Genomic DNA, 16,957 nt, shown 5'->3' with positions numbered 1-16,957 from the left:
TGTATTGCTGAACCCAAAGCGACACCCCAGAGCACCCGCCCCCGAGTCACCAGCTCCGGTGGCTCTCCCTCAGGGCGCACTCCCTCTGGGCGGGACTTGGGCCACAGGTCGTGGCCTGTCCCCATCCTCTGGGCCTCCTCTTGCTCTTGGGCATCCAGGCCCACTGGGACTTGGGGCACGGTTCAGCGCCCCTTCCCAGGTGCCGTGTTTTCTACTTTCCCAGAGGAAGTTACGTAGGATGGGAGGACTCCCTAGAGGTGCTACCAGGACAGCCACTTTAGGATTCTTAGATTAATTATTTCTGTGTTCCGGAAGCCTCCAGGAGCTTTAGTGCCTTACAAAATGACATGTAATGAGCTCAAATATACAAACAAGTTGTTGCTATTCTGGTTAGACAGGTAAGGAAATTGAAGCTCAGTGAGGCCTCAGTCTTGCTGGACTTTATACAGCCAGGAAGTTGTAGATCTAGGATCACAGCTTGGATCTGTGAGTCTTTGAAGCAGGTGCTCACCTCTAGGGTTTGCTGTGGTCCCAGTTGTATAGAGCCCCTCTGCCTAAATAGGTCACTTTCCTGCAACCAAGTCTGCACCATATGGTGCCCTGAGATCCAACCCCCAACCTCTACCCTAGCTCTTGACTTTAGGAGTCCCTAGCCCTTGACCAGGCCTAGCAAAGGTACAGTCAAATCAGAGGGAGGGATGACGTAGGTTCAGGGGCCTGACAGCCACCATCACCCACAGAAAAGGAGGAGCTTAGATGCAGTCCTGAGGCCCCAGCTTCCTGTCCAGGTCACAGTCCCCACCCCCTGCCTTAGGGCCTATGCAGAGGGGCATCTTGAATCACCTCTGAGACTGTGTCTTCATCCATAAGATGAAGACACTAATGCCCACCTCACCTCCCCTTGATTGTTGTGTAATACTGTACGCAAAATACGTGCACATAATACACACTTAAGGAATGGCAGGTATCATAGAACTGACTGAAAAGTTAATGCGGTTAAAGCTTCAGGGACTCTCACTTTCATTCCTACCCTTCTAGGCCCTGGGAGGGCCTAGCAGTGTGATATTTGTATATTTATATTTGAATTATTTTCCATAGAGAGTGCCAATTTATTTAATTTTCAAGCCCAACAAAACCTGGATTTGCCCTGGATCATAATTATAAACCAGGAAGAGAGAGATTTTCTGGTACACATCAAACATTTGGAACTACCTACATGGCCGTTAAGCAAAATGGAGTGAATGAGAACAAGATGGTTGTTCTCAACTGCCATTTCATTTGAGTTCTGCAGATCTGCCAAGCTCACAGGGCTGGAAACTCCTTGAGGATGGAGGACTATGTTTTGCTAATTGCTCTGTCTCCTACACAAGCGCAGGGCCTGGCACTTGGCAGGCTGAATAAGCCTAATGCATAATCAAAAACATGGCCCTTAACCCAGCCACCAGCCGGTGCCATCACCCATGCCCAACCCGTTGTTACAACTCCTATCTGAGCTGGAGCCAGGGAGAAGCTGACGCTTGGAAGAGCCAGGTTACCCTGAAATGTCCTGTTTGCAGGCAGGAAAGCTGCCTCTGCTTTGTCTTCCCTGGCCTTTGAGAGGGAAACTGCTTCTCAAGGTGACTCATTCCTCCCCACTCCATGAATGCAACCAGGCCCCAAGGCCTGTCAATATTTCCTGAGAAATGTCTCTAGGCCTGACCTATTGCCACCTCCCAACTCCCAGTCCATCTCCCTGTGCCAGAAATATTACAAGAGTCTTCTAACTGTCCTCCTCGGCTCCTGGCCTCATGCCATCCAAGTCATTCTGAGCACCAGGTCACATTAATCCTGCTAAAATGCAGCATAATCATGTCATGACCCTTCCCTAAATCCCTTCATGGCCCTCTCCTTCCTGAGAGAGCCAATTTAAACATCTCTGCCTGGTTTCCGAGGCCTTCTGTAATCGACTCCACTCTTTCCCACTTATCTCTTCCTCCACTCTGGCCGCAACAAGGCCACTTCCCACCATCCTCTGCCCCCACCATGTCCACTCCATTTGTTCGCCGCTCATATTCCCTTCCTTGCCCTGCCTTCTCCACTCACCTCTGCCTGACCAAGCATCCCCTCTCATCTAAGGCCCAGCTTGCCAACCTTCCCTGGACCACAGCTACTCACCCCAATCTCCCAGGCCTCAGCACCTCGACAGGGCAAACTCAGGCTGTGCTCACAGTCCATCTGGATATACACCCAGACTCCTCTTTACAGGGCAGGAACCTGGGATGCCACAGGTGGGCCATCTTGCCCAGTGTCAGGTTGTGGTAGAGTTTTGAGCCAGGACTCCAGCCTAGTCCTGATGCCCAGCCAGTGCTCTGTCCATCCCACCCCCAACCCCTCATGCAACCTGGGCCTCAGATAAGTAACACTGAGTCATGACTGCCTAACTGATATGGGTGACTGTCTTCTAGGGGGCTGGTCCTATCTGCCCCAATCAGACAGCTTCCTGAGGCCAGGGCCCATGCTGCACTGCTGTGTCCCCTCTCTGTTGTTCCAGTGCTGACTTCACTAATTTCCTTAATAATTTGCCTCTTTTTGCTCTTGCATAGCTCTTAGATCCCTGCTAAGGCTCCTTGACAGTTACTCCCTGGATCCTCAGGAAGACCCCAACCCACAGGGAGTCCTTAGTTCCCTCCCTCTCCAGATGGCCCTCCACTTCCCTTCAAGTCCCCTGAACTCTCTCTACTCATTTACTGTGGTACCTCCTACACAAGTTGGGGTTGGAGTGACCAGTGCCAGGCTGCCACCCCAGGAAACGCACCTGCTTATAAGACAATAAAGGCTGCCTTCTAAGTTGGAATGTCTGTACCAATTCCCATCTGACCCATGGCACTAGGAATGTTACTTCAGGAGTGATCTCCAACAGATAACAGCTGTACCTCCCGCACCTGGGAGCACACTCTGAATAGCAATGTTTACATAACGTTGACAGTTTGCAGAGCAATTTCTCATTTATTGCTTCATTTCTCCTGATAACAGCCTGGTGAGGTTAGAAGGGCAAATATCATTATCTGCACTTAATCAGTCAATGAGGATGTGAAGGTTATAGAGCTTGGGTGTTTTGGTTTTTTTCTTAAATTGAAATGAGGTCTTGCCATGTTGCCCAGGCTGGTCTCGAACTCCTGGACTCAAGGGATCCTCTTGCCTTGACCTCTAAAACTGCTGGAATTGGCCAGGCGCAGTGGCTCACGCCTGTAATCCCAGCACTTTGGGAGGCTGAGGTGGGAGGATCACGTGGTCAGGAGTTCGAGACCAGCCTGGCCAACATAGTGAAACCCTGTCTCTACTAAAAATACAAAAATTAGCTGGGCATAGTGGCAAGAGCCTGTAGTCCCAGCTACTTGGGAGGCTTAGGCAAGAGAATCGCTTGAACCTGGGAGGTGGAGGTTGTGGTGAGCCAAGATTGTGCCACTGCACTCCAGCCTGGGCGACAGAGTGAGACAGTCTCAGAAAAAAAGAAAGAAAAGAAAAGAGAGAAGAGAAGAGAAAAGAAAAGGAAAGAAGAAAAAGAAAAAAAGAAAAAAATGCTGGGATTATAGACGTGAGCCATTGTGCCCAGCCCTATAGAGTTTGTTAAGGTCTCAAAGAGAGCGAAAAAACGAAAATTAAGACCAGTGCCTAAACCATTGGAGCATCTTAGAACCCTGACACTATGGGACTGTCATGCACAGCCTGTCCTAAAGAGATGCCTCGGAAGAGATCCCAACCTAGCATTTCTATTAGTTGGATCAGTGGTTTCCAACCTGGCTGCACCAAAGCCACCTAGGGAGCTTCTACAAATGCTGATGTCCAAGCCCCACCCAGAGACTGGACTAATGTGAATGCCGTCCAAGTTTCACTTTCTAACAGTTCCCCAGGTGAAACTCAGGTGCTGCCAGGAATGAGGACCACTGATTTAGACCCTAGCTTTCCATGGGAACATCTGGAAGAAATGTCTAAAATGAATTGACCCATAATCCTTTTAGCAGCTTCTGTTGGATGCTGAAGGCAGTTGCTCCAGGGTCTTAGTGGCTCTGCAGATCCTGAGCTCAGTGGGGTGAAGGTTACTGTGACTCCATCAGCGTTGCAGACAGTTCTGCTTCCTGCGGGAGAAGGCTGCTGAGGAGACACTGGCCACCCAGCCCCTGGAGAGGCTGGAGTTGTAAAATCACATTCTCAGTCTGCCTCCTTTTCTCTTTCATTTGCCCAAAGTCCTGACCTCCAATATTATAACAGGGTCAGTAAATCAGCAACCACCAAGCTAAAACTGTGGCCTGTAACATTTTATTTGGCCCACCTGATGTTTTATAAATTTGTGCCTGCCCTTAAAAAAAAATTAAGAAATTTCACTTTAAAATCTAGATTTCAGGCCGGTGCCTCACGCCTGTAATCCCAGCACTTTGGGAGGCTGAGGCAGACGGATCATCTGGTCGGGAGTTCGAGACCAGACTGACCAACATGGAGAAACCCCATCTCTACTAAAAATACAAAATTAGCCAGGCATGGTGGCACATGCCTGTAATCCCAGCTACTCAGCATGGTGGTGTACGCCTGTAATCCCAGCTACTTGGGAGGCTGAGGCAGGAGAATCGCTTGAACCCGGGAGGCAGAGGTTGTGGTGAGCCGAGATTGCGCCATTGCCCTCCAGTCTGGGCCACAAAAGCGAAATTCCGTCTCAAAAAATATGTATAGTAATAAAATAAATAAAATAAAATCTAGATTTCAGGCACCTAAAGGTGACACCACACAGGACCCACTTGATCCTGTGGCAACGTGGTCATCATGGCACTAGCTCCTTATCTTAGCCAGCGCCTTCCCCGCATATGCTGGAGCTGAGCAGCCACCGCCCCCTTTAGACAGGGTAGGGGAGCTCCAGCCAGCCCAGGCCCCACCCAGCCCACTGCTTGACACTGCTGACTGGCGCCTGTAAGGCATTGACATTTTCAGCTCCTAATAATGGGAATTTACCGGCAAAAAGCCTCCCATTATTAGGGCTGGGATGAGGATGAGGCAAGAGCCGTGCCTAGGATGCAAGACTTAAGTCTTGTACCTGAATCTTACTCCATCAGTGCCTCTCTTGCTCCATCCAAGCCCCAGTCCTCTCAGGTATCATAAAGGCCCCTGCCAGCCTCCTCCTTACTCAACCCTGACCTGTTCATCTCCACTCAGAGAGGCCCTGACCTTTCAGGACACATTTCCCACCTCCCAAGGAGGTGAAGGAAACCAACATAATTCACCCCAAAATACGGCTCCCTTGTGTAAAGAGTATTTTGAATGAAAGGCCCTTAAAGATCAACAGACACTGGAAGAGACTGCCCCACCTCCAAAGGGGAAAGACCAAAAGACCAGAAGGATGCCCCTGGGGGAACAATTTTTTCCCTTCCCCTTCCCGTTATCTGATTCTCTATTGCAGAAAAGAAGACTGAAGAATGTCACCACCCCTAGAGGGATAAAATGCCTGTCTGTCTCTCGGGCTTATTCAGTTTCCAAAGAGAGCCATTTACAAGTTAATCTCAATTCTCTGATCCCTTCTTTCTCCTGAGAAATCATGCAGAATTACAGAATTAGCATATTCCCCATCTCCTTACCAGCTTCAGAAAAAAAAAAAAGGGCTATATGGCCAGGCACGGTGGCTCACGCCTGTAATCCCAGCACTTTGGGAGGCCGAGGCGGGTGGATCACTTGAGGTCAGGAGTTCCAGACCAGGCTGGCCAACATGGTGAAACTCCATCTCTCTCCTAAAACCACGAACATTAGCTGGGCGTGGTGGTGCAAGCCTGTAATCCCAGCTACTCAGGAGGCTTAGACAGGAGAATCACTTGAACCTGGGAGGCAGAGATTTCAGTGAGCCAAGCTCATGCCACTGCCCTCCAGCCTGGGCGACAGAGTGAGCCTCTGTCTCAGAAATAAAAGGCTATATAAGCTTCTGTACTCCATTGAAGGGTTAGGGTAATCACTGTGTTTTCTTCTAGGCATATTAGAAAATGTGTATGCCTTTTCTCTTAATCGTCTTTTGTCTGTTGACTTTTCAGCAAATTCACGGAGGGGGAAGCGGAAGTTTTCCTTCCACCCTGCAGTGGCTTCTACTCCCCTTTGAAGGTAAAAGTTCCTCAGAAGAGCCAAGGAAATCCGAGTCCCACCCTGTCCCTTTCTAGACATCCCATCCTCATTAAATTGCCTCTGAGCCTGACAAAAGTCATAGGCGTAAAGAACTGTAGCTTGGGCCGAGCGCGGTGGCTCACGCCTATAATCCCAGCACTTTGGGAGGCCGAGGCAGGCGGATCACGAGGTCAGGAGTTCTAGACCAGCCTGGCCAATATGATGAAATCCCATCTCTACTAAAAACACAAAAATTAGCTGCACGTGGTGGCATGCACCTATAGTCCCAGCTACTCGGGAGGCTGAGGCAGGAGAATTGCTTGAACCCAGGAGGTGGAGGTTGCAGTGAGCCAAGACTGTGCCACTACACTCCAGCCTGGGCAACAGAGGAAGACTCCGTCTCAGAAAAAAAAAGAAAGAATTGTATCCTGGAGGAGGAAGGGTTAACCAGATTGTTGAGGCCTTCCCAGGCTTCAGACTAGCTCCTTATCTCAGCCAGCTCTCCAAAGGAAATGGTTTCCCCAAATGAAATCGTTATCTTTTGGACCAGAGCAATCTCAAATCACCTTGCCAGTTACCCTGAGTTTCCTGGGATAGTTCTCCCAGCACCCACACACAACGACCTTCACAGGGCCAGGAAAAAGTCCTCAATCCTTTCCTTCGAGTTAGCATTGTAAACCACAAATAAAATTCTAACCCACCATCCTCCTCATCATCTGATTCAACCTCTCCTCTCAGCCAGGGCATTCAAGAGTTAACCTGAAAAACTAGCTCAGGCCATGATGGAATGGGGGTGTCAGACATACTTCATCATACCTTCATCCCTTTTGGAATTCAGTCCCATCCGACCAGCATTAACATCAACAGACTGATAGAATAGAACAGACTCTCTAAGTCTAATAAGAAACATTTACAATCTTTTCTCTGAAGCCTGCTATCTGGAGGCTTCATCTGTATAAAACCTTGGTCTCCACAACCCCTTATCACTTTTTTTTTTTTTTGAGACGGAGTCTCACTCTGTTGCCCAGGCTGAAGTGCAGTGGTGCAGTCTCGGCTCACTGCAACCTCCGCCTCCCAGGTTCAAGTGATTCTCCTGCCTCAGCCCCCTGAGTAGCTGGGATTACAGGTGCCTGCCACTATGCCCAGCTAAATTTTGTATTTTTAGTAGAGACAGGGTTTCACCATTTTGGCCAGGCTGGTCTCGAACTCCTGACCTCAGGTGATCCGCCTGCCACAGCCTCCCAAAGTGCTGAGATTACAGGCATGAGCCACCAGGCCCAGCCAACCAATGTACCTCTTACATGTATTGACTGATATTTTATTGTCTTCCTGAAATGAATAAACTTGTAGTTTGACTGCTTGGGGCACATGTTCTCAGGATCTCCTGAGGGCTGTGTCATGGGCTACTGGCTGCTCATATTTGGCTCAGAATAATCTCTTCAAATATTTTACAGACTGACTCTTTATCAACAGCACCAAGATATACTGGAAAATGCTCACACAGAGTTCATGTCAACACCTAGGCAGGGTTCCTAGGCTCTAAGATGACATGGGTCAGCAAGTTAAACATATAAACAAAAATTAGATTCTGAGTTTTTATATGGCTTAGAAAGGATTTTTTTTTTTTTTTTTTTTTTGAGACAAAGTCTGGCTCTGTCACCCAGGTTGCAGTTCAGTGGCACGATCTCGGCTCACTGCAACCTCTGCCTGATGGGTTCAGGCGATTCTCATGCCTCAGCCTCCCAAGCAGCTGGGATTAGAGGCATCCACCACCACACCCGGCTAATTTTTGTGTTTTTAATAGAGAGGGAGTTTTGCCATGTTGGCCAGCCTGGTCTCGAACTCCTGACCTCAAGTGATCTGCCTGCCTTGGCCTCCCAAAGTACTGGGATTACAGGTGTGAGCCACCATGCCTGGCCAGATTTTTTTTTTTTTTTTTTTAGATGGAGTTTCACTCCGTCACCCAGGCTGGAGTTCAGTGGTACAATCTCTTTTTTTTTTTTTTATGAGATGGAGTTTCGCTCTTGTTGCCTAGGCTGGAGTGCAGTAGCGTGATCCCGGCTCACTGTGACCTCCGCCTCCCGGGTTCAAGCAATTCTCCTGCCTCAGCCTCCCAAGTAGCTGGGATTACAGGCATGCGCCACAACACCCGGCTAATTTTTTTTGTATTTTTAGTAGAGATGGGGTGTCACCATGTTGGTCAGGCTAGTCTCAAACTCCTGACCTCAGGTGATCTGCCTGCCTCGGCCTCCCAAAGTGCTAGGATTACAGGAGTGAGCCACCTCGCCTGGCCGAGTGGTGCAATCTGAACTCACTGCAACTTCCGCCTCCCGGGTTCAGGTGATTCTCCTGCCTCAGCCTCCCGAGGAGCTGGGACTACAGGTGCACACCACCACGCCCAGCTAATTTTTTGTATTTTTAGTAGAGATGGGGTTTCACCGTGTCAGCCAGGATGGTCTCAATTTCCTGACCTCATGATCCGCCCACCTCAGCCTCCCAAAGCGCTGGGATTACAGGCATGAGCCACCTCGCGGCTTTTTTTTTTTTTTTTTTTTTTTTTTTAATGAGACAAAGTCATGCCAGGCGCGGTGGCTCACACCTGTAATCCCAGCACTTTAGGAGGCCGAGGCAGGCGGATCACAAGGTCAGGAGATCGAGACCATCCTGGCTAGCACAGTGAAACCCCATCTCCACTAAAAATACAAAAAATTAGCCGGGCGTGGTGGCGGGTGCCTGTAGTTCCAGCTACTGGGGAGGCTGAGGCAGGAGAATGGCGTGAACCCAGCAGGCGGAGCTTGCAGTGAGCCGAGATCATGCCATTGCACTTCAGCCTAGGGGACAGAGCGAGACTCTGTCTCAAAAAAAAAAAAAAGAAAGAAAGAAAAGAGACAAAGTCTTGCTGTCACCTAGGCTAAAGTGCAGTGGTATGATCATAGCTCACTGCAATCTCGAACTCCTGGGCTCAAGCAATCCTCCTGACTTGGCCTTCCAAAGTGCTGGAATTAGCAGTCATGAGCCACCATGCCAGACCAGGATCTTTTTTAGGTGTATGATTTTCATATCCTATAATCATAATTTCCTAAAGTAGGGTCCCCAACTGGTCTGTGGCCTGTTAGGGACTGAGCTTCACAGCAGGAGGTGAGCAGCAGGTGAGCGAGCATTACCGCCTCAGCTCTGTCTCCTGTCAGATCAGCAGTGCAATTAGATTCTTGTAGGAGTACAAACCCTATTGTGAACTGCTCATCCAAAGGATCTGGATTGTGCACTTTTTATGAGAATCTAGTGCCTAATTGAGAGAAGAGAGACAGACCCTCTCATATTGTTTTATACTCAGAAAAAGAAAGAGAAGCAAAACTAAAGGCAGGTAGCCTGGCGCCCAGGAACCAGACCCGAAAGCAAGGAACCAGACCCGAAACCAGGCCTGGCCCTGCCTGACCTAAGCCTGGTAGTTACAGATCGACCCCTGACCTAACCGTTTATGTTATCTATAGAGTCCAGGCATTGTATGGAAAGGCATTGTAAAAATCCCTGTCCTGTTCTGTTTTGTTCTGATTACCAGTGCCTGCAGCCCCCAGTCACATACCCCCTGCTTGCTCAGTCAATCATGACCCTCTCCCAAGGACCCTCTTAGAGTTGTGAGCCCTTAAAAGGGACAGGAATTGTTCACTCGGGGAGCTCGGCTCTTGAGACAGGAGTCTTGCCGATGCTCCTGGCTGAATAAACCGCTTCCTTCTTTAACTCGGTGTCTGAGGAGTTTTGTCTGCAGCTTGTCCTGCTGCATAATGATCTGAGGTGGAACAGTTTCACCCCGAAACCATCCCCACACACACACGGGTCTGTGGAAAAATTGTCTTCCACAAAACCAGTGCCTAGTGCCATAAAGGTTGGGAACCGCTTTCCTAAAAGAAAATATATTTTAGGCGGGGCGTGGTGGCTCACACCTGTAATCCTAGCACTTTGGGAGGCTGAGGTGGGTCGATCACTTGAGGTCAGGAGTTCAAAACCAGCTTGGCAATCATGATGAAACCCCGTCTCTATTAAAAATACAAAAAATTAGCTGGGCGTGTGGTGTGCACCTATAGTCCCTGCTACTCCAGAGGCTGGGGCAGGAGAATCACTTGAACCGGGGAGGCAGAGGTTGCCATGAGCCGAGATCGTGCCACCACACTCCAGCCTGGCTGACAGAGTGAGACTCCATCTCAAAAAAAAAGAAAAGAAAATATATTTTAAAACAGAGAAGTAAAAATAATGGTTGCTTTGTAAGCTAAATACATTTGGCTTTATATTAATAGCTAGCACTTAGGTAGAACTTACTATACACCATTGTTCTAAATTATTTACTTATTTATTGACTGATTGATCCTTAAAACAACACAATGAGGTGGATACTCGTAATATCCCCATTTTATAGATGAGGAAACTGAATCACGGGGTGATTAAGTGACTTTCTCAAGGTCACACAGCAACTGAATGGAAAAGCTGGGATCCAAGCCAAGGCAGTGTGTCTCCAGCCCACCTTGTCATTCCGACAAAATGCAATATTTATTTTACTATATTGTCCTTATTTCTCTTATTTCACTCAGGTCCAGTGAAGGGGTCCAAGAACCTGCACCGAGGAGACTGAGTCGTGGCTTAGATTCCTAAAGCGTGGCAAGTGGATCTGGGCCCTGCAGAGTTCCTTTATAAGGGGAATTCTCAAACCAAACAGAGAGGCAGATCTGCAAGGCCAGAGGGGCTATAAGTGGGTTATGGAAGAAGTTGCCCTCCCCCGGGGGGTGGGGGTGGAGACTTCTGGCTTGGGTTGATTCCACTGAGTGGGCTGAGTATGTCTCCTCTCTCGCTGTTTTCTGTAGGTCTGTCTCGCTATGCCCTTCCCAAAGAATCACTCTTGTCAAGGGCTTCAGCCACATCTCCCTCCCAAGTTCGTGATTATATTTCCAGCTGCCTATGAGAATCAAGTCTTATATGTCCCATGGGCACCCGAAACTCAGTATCTTCCAACACAGTCATGTTCTTCTCCTTAAACTTACTCTTCTCAATTCCCCTCCTTGTCATTTATTCACCCAACACATATTTGTGAAACACCTAATCTGCCCTGCACTTTCCTAGTCACTGGAAATGTGGTGAACAACCCAAAAATCCAACAAACTCCCTATGCCAAAGGAAAGTGTTTAGCTTGGGAACTGTGTCACCCAAAACACCTCCCATTTTGTCCCTACATAGGTAGCTGCAAAGGTAGGCCACATATCTTCCCAGGGGGCTTCCCTCACAATTTGCTCATGAGGAAATCCCTTTACCCTAAAACAGAATTCTGTTGAATTTCACCCAAACAATGTACACTGACAGCTTACCATCACAGGTACAGGACAAGGACTGGACTAGAAGTTATCCCTTCCTTCACCTGCGCCAAACGCATATTTGACTGCTTCCTTTATTCTATGCTTACTTTACTTATGTAAAAATGCACATTCACTGAGTATGAATGCATAGCTGACTGTTCCTCCACCCTCCTCATTTCACATGTGAACTGTGGGTTCAGGGAACACTAAGCTAATCAAAGTCTCAAAAGAATGCAACCCCTTGTCTCTTTTATCTACCCTTCCCTTTTTTCCCTTTCCTCTTTCCTGCACTGCTCACCCTTTCCTCTTTATTTTTTATTTTATTTATTTATTTTTTATTTTATTTTATTTTTATTTTTTTGAGACAGAGTCTCACTCTGTCGCCCGGGCTGCAGTGCACTGGTGCGATCTCAGCTCACTGCAAGCTCCACCTCCCGGATTCACACCATTCTCCTGCCTCAGCCTCCTGAGTAGCTGGGACTACAGGTGCCCGCCACAATGCGTGGCTAATTTTTTTTTTGTATTTTTAGTAGAGACGGTGTTTCACTGTTAGCCAGGATAGTCTCAATCTCCTGACCTCATGATCTGCCCGCCTTGGCCTCCCAAAGTGCTGGGATTACAGGCGTGAGCCACCGTGCCCAGCCCCACCCTTTCCTCTTTAAATATTGAAGTCCTCAAACCCTCTTTGGAAAAAGTGTGGGTCACAGATCCTACTGTGGCTTATGTCTCTTTTTTCTGGGCATATTCTCATCCTTGGCAAAATTAACTCTAAATTGATTGAGACTCGCCTCAGTCATTTTCTTCTTCTTTTTTTCTTTTTCTTATTTTTTTTTGTTGTTTTTTTTGTTTTGTTTTTTGTTTTTTTTGAGACAGAGTCTCACTCTGTCGCCCAGGCTGGAGTGCAGTGGCATCATCTCGGCTCACTGCAAACTCTGCCTCCCGGGTTCAAACGATTCTCCTCCCTCAGCCTCCCGAGTAGCTGGGATTACAGTGCATGCCACCACACCTGGCTAATTTTTTGTATTTTTAATAGAGACAGGGTTTCACCATGTTCCAGGCTGGTCTCGAACTCCTGACCTCAGGTGATCTGCCTGCCTTGGCCTCCCAAAGTGTTGGGATTACAGGTGTGAACTACCACACCCAGCCTTCTTCTTTTTCTTTTTTTTTAACTGGTACCTCAGTTTTCTTCTTTGGTTTTACACAGCCCACATTCTGATCGGGAGAGACAGATGGTAAACAAATGGCTAATTAAATATACATTAGGCCAGGCACTAGGAGAAAAGGCAGGCGCAGCTGACACAGCTGTATCCCACAATATCCATTTCCCCTTTGTCCTAATAAACTAATCAATGCTCCAATTTTTAGGTGAACTCAGGCCTCCCAGAATAAAGATTCCATTTCCAGCCTCCCCTATAGTCGGATGCAGGCATGTGACCAAGCTCTGGCCAGAGATGAAAGTGAGAGTGTCTCAGTAGCTTCTGGAGCCTCCCTTAAGAGACACAGCTATTCTGTGGCTTTCCTGCTTCTTTGCCATTCCTCCTTCCCGCTGACTGGAGGACAGGCAGAGTGGCTGGAGATCCTGCAATCATCTTGGATTATGAGATAACCTTGGGACACACAGGGAGAACGCCATGTGAAGGGACATACACAGAAAGAAGATGACCATACAAAGATGCAGGCAGGGATGGGAGTGATGCTGCCACAAGCCAAGGAACGCTTGGGGCCACTGGAAGCTGGAAGAGGCAAGGGAGGGTCTTCTTCTCCAAGATTCAGAGGGAGCACAAGCCTGCCAACACCTTGAATTTGGACTTCTAGCCTCCAGGCCTCTCAGAAGAAGCAAGATGTGAATCCTACAGCTACAAGGAACCGAACGCTGCAAACAACCACATGAGCAGGAAAGCATGACCCAAGGCAGGACACCTAGCTCAGCTTATCCCAACTCCTGACCCACAAACATGAAACACCCATGGCAAAATATTACTGAGACAGTGAAAGATCTGACCTATCCAACTCCATCTTGCTTTTAACCTCCAAGCTGTCCTTGTTCATTCCCGGTCATAGGCTGAACTAACTTTGGGAGGAACTTAGTTTATAGTTTAAAACAAAGATGAGGCTGAGCGCAGTGGCTCACGCCTGTAATCCTAGCGCTTTGGGAGGCCAAGGCGAGCGGATCACTTGAGGTCAGGAGTTCGAGACCAGCTTGGCCAACATGGTGAAACGCTGCTTCTACTAAAAATACAAAAATTAGCTGGGTGTGGTGGCGGGCGCCAGTAATCCCAGCTACTTGGGAGGCTGAGGCAGGAGAATCGCTTGAATCCAGGAGGCAGAGGTTGCAGTGAGCCGAGACTGGGCCACTGCTCTCCATTCTGGGCGATAGAGCGAGACTCTGTCCCCCAAAAATAAATAAATAAATAAATAAATAAATAAATAAATAAATAAATAATAAAAATAAAAATACAACAAGATGATAACAGCCCTTTTCCAAAACAAACCCTCTTCTTGTCTGGAGATCAGACTGCCTTTGAAGGACTAACAAATTAGCAAAAAGATTAGAAATTATGGTTTAGGAGTCATGCAGCTGGAGGCTACAAGATTCTGACCCTCCCAAATTGATCCTGGGGATTACATCACTATTGTAAAGCCTAAGATAGTGCTTGAGATATTTTGCAGACCTTGCACTTGATGGATCAGTTGGCACCCCCCAGATTGATAAACTGGATCATCTGATCTTGTGGCCCCCAGCCAGAAACTGACTCAGTGCAAGACAGTTTCAATTCCCTATGATTTCATCTCTGACCCAACCAATCAGCACTCCTGACTCACTGGCTGCTTCCTACCCACCAAATTATCCTTAAAACTCCAATCCCCAAATGCTCAAGGAGACTGATTTGAGTAATAGTAAAACCCCAGTCTCCCGCAAAGGTGACTCTGAGTGAATTACTCCTTCTTTATTGCAATTCCCCTGTTGATGAATCAGCTCTGTCTAGGCAGTGGGCAAGGTGAACCTGTTGGGCGGTTACAAGTTTGGGAGCTTGTCCAGGATTGCCCTTAAGACTACCTGCCATAAGGGTAATCCTGGTTCGGTAGCCTCCCTCTGGTGACGGATCCAGAGGCCAGTCCAAGTGGCCGCCTACTTCTCTTGGACTGGGGGTTGACTCCGCTACTGTCTCTACAGGCCGGTCACTGCTGACCCATGGTGCATGGATTTAATTGCAATAGAGAAATAGTCCTGGGGAAACTGATTTGAGTAATGATAAAACTCTGGTCTCCCACACAGCCAGCTCTGCATGAGTTACTCTTTCTCTATTGCAATTCTCTACCTTGATAAATCAGCTCTGTCTAGGCAGTGGGCAAAGTGAACCCTCTGGGTGGTTACAAAAATCGTAGATAATACATGTGTGTTATTCTAATTAAAAAAAAGAGATAACTCTGGGAATGATGCCCATACAAAACAAAGCAACAAAATAGAATAGAACCTGCATCCTTGTCATCAAGCTGCCCCATATCAGCCTCCCCCCTCCCCCCACCACATTACCTCTATATTTCTAAAATTTGAGAGAAAAACAAAATTCCAATGTGTTTATCCAAATGCTATTTTGGAGTTTTCTGTTACTGCCAGCCAAATCTAATACTAACTGATACACACGTTGAACAAATAAAGGGTAGGGATTTCATTTTAGTCAGGATGGACAGGGAAGGACCTCTGAAGATGCGGCATTTGAGCAGAAACCAGAATAAGATGAGGGACACTATGCCAGTGTCTAGGAAAAGAGTGTTCCAGGCAGAACTAGCCCCTCATCGCCTCTGCTGAAAATCTGCCATCATCCTTGAACTCCTTCCACTCCCATGGGCTCCACATGTAACCTGTTACCAAACCCTAAGAATTCTACCTGTAAATGTATCTCAGAACAAACAAACAAAGCAAACAAATGAAACCTACAAACTTTTTTTTTTTTTTTTTTTGAGACAGGGTCCCATAGTTTTGCCCAGGCTGGAGTGCAGTGGATCAATCACAGCTCACTGCAGCCTTGACCTTCCAGGGCCCAAGTGATCCTCCCACCTCAGCCTCCCAAGTAGCTGGGACCACAGATGCACCCCACCACTCTCAGGAAATTTTAAAATTACTTTTTGTAGAGACAGAGTCTTAGCACCATCTGTTGAAAGGCTTTTCTTTCCCCATTGAATTGTTTTCACATCTTTGTCAAAAATTATTATACCTGGGAGGCTGAGGCAGGAGAATGGTGTGAACCCGGGAGGCGGAGATTGCAGTGAGCTGAGATCGCACCACTGCACTCCAGCCTGGGCGACAGAGTGAGACTCTGTCTCAAAAAAAAAAAAATCATTATACCATAAATGTAAGGGTTTATTTCTGAACTCTCAATTTCAGTTCATGCAGCTATATAATTATCCTAATGTTAGTATCACATTGTCTTGATTACTGTAGCTTTATAAGTTTTTTTTTTCTTTTTTTGAGATGGAGTTTTGCTCTTGTTGCCCAGGCTGGAGTGCAATGGTGTGATCTCAGCTCACCGCAACCTCTGCCTCCCAGGTTCAAGTGATTCTCCTGCCTCAGCCTCCCAAGTAGCTGGGATTACAGGCACCTACCTCCACGCCTGGCTAATTTTTTGTATTTTTAGTAGAGATGGGGTTTCACCATGTTGGCAAGGCTGGTCACGAACTCCTGACCTCAGGTGATCCACCTGTTTCGGCCTCCCAAAGTTCTAGGATTACAAGTGTGAGCCACCACACCCAGCCTGCTTTTAAAATTTTGAAATCAGGAAATGTGAGTTCTCTTTCTTCTTATTCAAGATTGTTTTGGCTATTCGGCACCCCTTCCATTTTCATATGAATTTTAGAAGCAGCTTGTCAATTTCTGCAAAGAAGCCAGCTGAGATTTTCATAGGAATTGGGTTGAATCTATATATTAATTTGGGGAGTTTACCACCTTAACAATAGTGTCTTCCAATCCATGAACATGGGATGTCTTTCCATTAATTTAGATCTTCTTTATTTTCTTTCAACAATCCTTTGTAGTTTTCAGAGTAAAAGTCTATACTTCTCTTGTTTATTCCTAAGTAATTTGTTCTTTTTGATGCTATTATACATGGAATTGTTTTCTTTTCTTTTTTTTTTTTTTTTTTTTTTGAGACAGAGTCTCACTCTGTTACCCAGGCTAGAGTACACTGGTGTGATCTCAGCTCACTGCAACCTCCACCTCCCAGGTTCAAGCAATTCTCCTGCCTCAGCCTCCCGAGTAGCTGGGATTACAGGTGTGTGCCACCACAACTGGCTAGTTTTTGTATTTTTAGTAGAGATGGGGTTTCACCATGTTGGCCAGGCTGGTTGCAAACTTCTGACCTCAGGTGACCCACTCACCACCACACCCAGCCAGGAATTGTTTTCTTAATTTCATTTTTATATTGTTCATTGCAATTTTATAGAAGAAGTACAATTTAATTTTTTTTTTTTTTTTTGAGATGGAGTCTTGCTCTGTCACCCAGGCTGGA

At 47.2% G+C, this 16,957-nt stretch overlaps 1 protein-coding gene across 10 annotated transcripts in view, besides 2 other annotated features; it reads right to left on the bottom strand.

Moving 5' to 3' along the window:
* The window catches only part of HK1 (hexokinase 1), a 131,883-nt gene that overhangs the window by 83,714 nt on the left and 31,212 nt on the right, over positions 1 to 16,957 (bottom strand). Inside the window, exon 1 of one of the 10 annotated variants that reach the window (NM_033496.3) lies at positions 2,155 to 2,400. The exons of the other annotated variants lie outside the window; for them this stretch is intronic. Coding sequence (NP_277031.1) covers positions 2,155 to 2,214 — 60 coding nt within the window. The 5' untranslated portion in view covers positions 2,215 to 2,400. Of the gene's footprint in view, positions 1 to 2,154; positions 2,401 to 16,957 lie in introns of those variants that run through there. 10 annotated transcript variants of the gene reach the window in all.
* Positions 79 to 308: an enhancer, noted in NCBI's record as "active region_3489". NCBI's record gives its function as "activates an Ori minimal core promoter by ATAC-STARR-seq in GM12878 lymphoblastoid cells {active_cell/tissue: GM12878}" and the evidence as "EXISTENCE:reporter gene assay evidence [ECO:0000049][PMID:35858748]".
* Positions 4,841 to 5,342: an enhancer, noted in NCBI's record as "NANOG-H3K27ac-H3K4me1 hESC enhancer chr10:71072583-71073084 (GRCh37/hg19 assembly coordinates)". NCBI's record gives its function as "activates a minimal SCP1, AML or CMV promoter by ChIP-STARR-seq in primed H9 embryonic stem cells {active_cell/tissue: H9 hESC(primed)}" and the evidence as "EXISTENCE:reporter gene assay evidence [ECO:0000049][PMID:30033119]".

This window comes from Homo sapiens, chromosome 10, assembly GCF_000001405.40.
Source record: "Homo sapiens chromosome 10, GRCh38.p14 Primary Assembly".
Classification (NCBI taxonomy): domain Eukaryota; kingdom Metazoa; phylum Chordata; class Mammalia; order Primates; family Hominidae; genus Homo; species Homo sapiens.
This window is presented reverse-complemented; position numbering and strand designations above follow the sequence as displayed.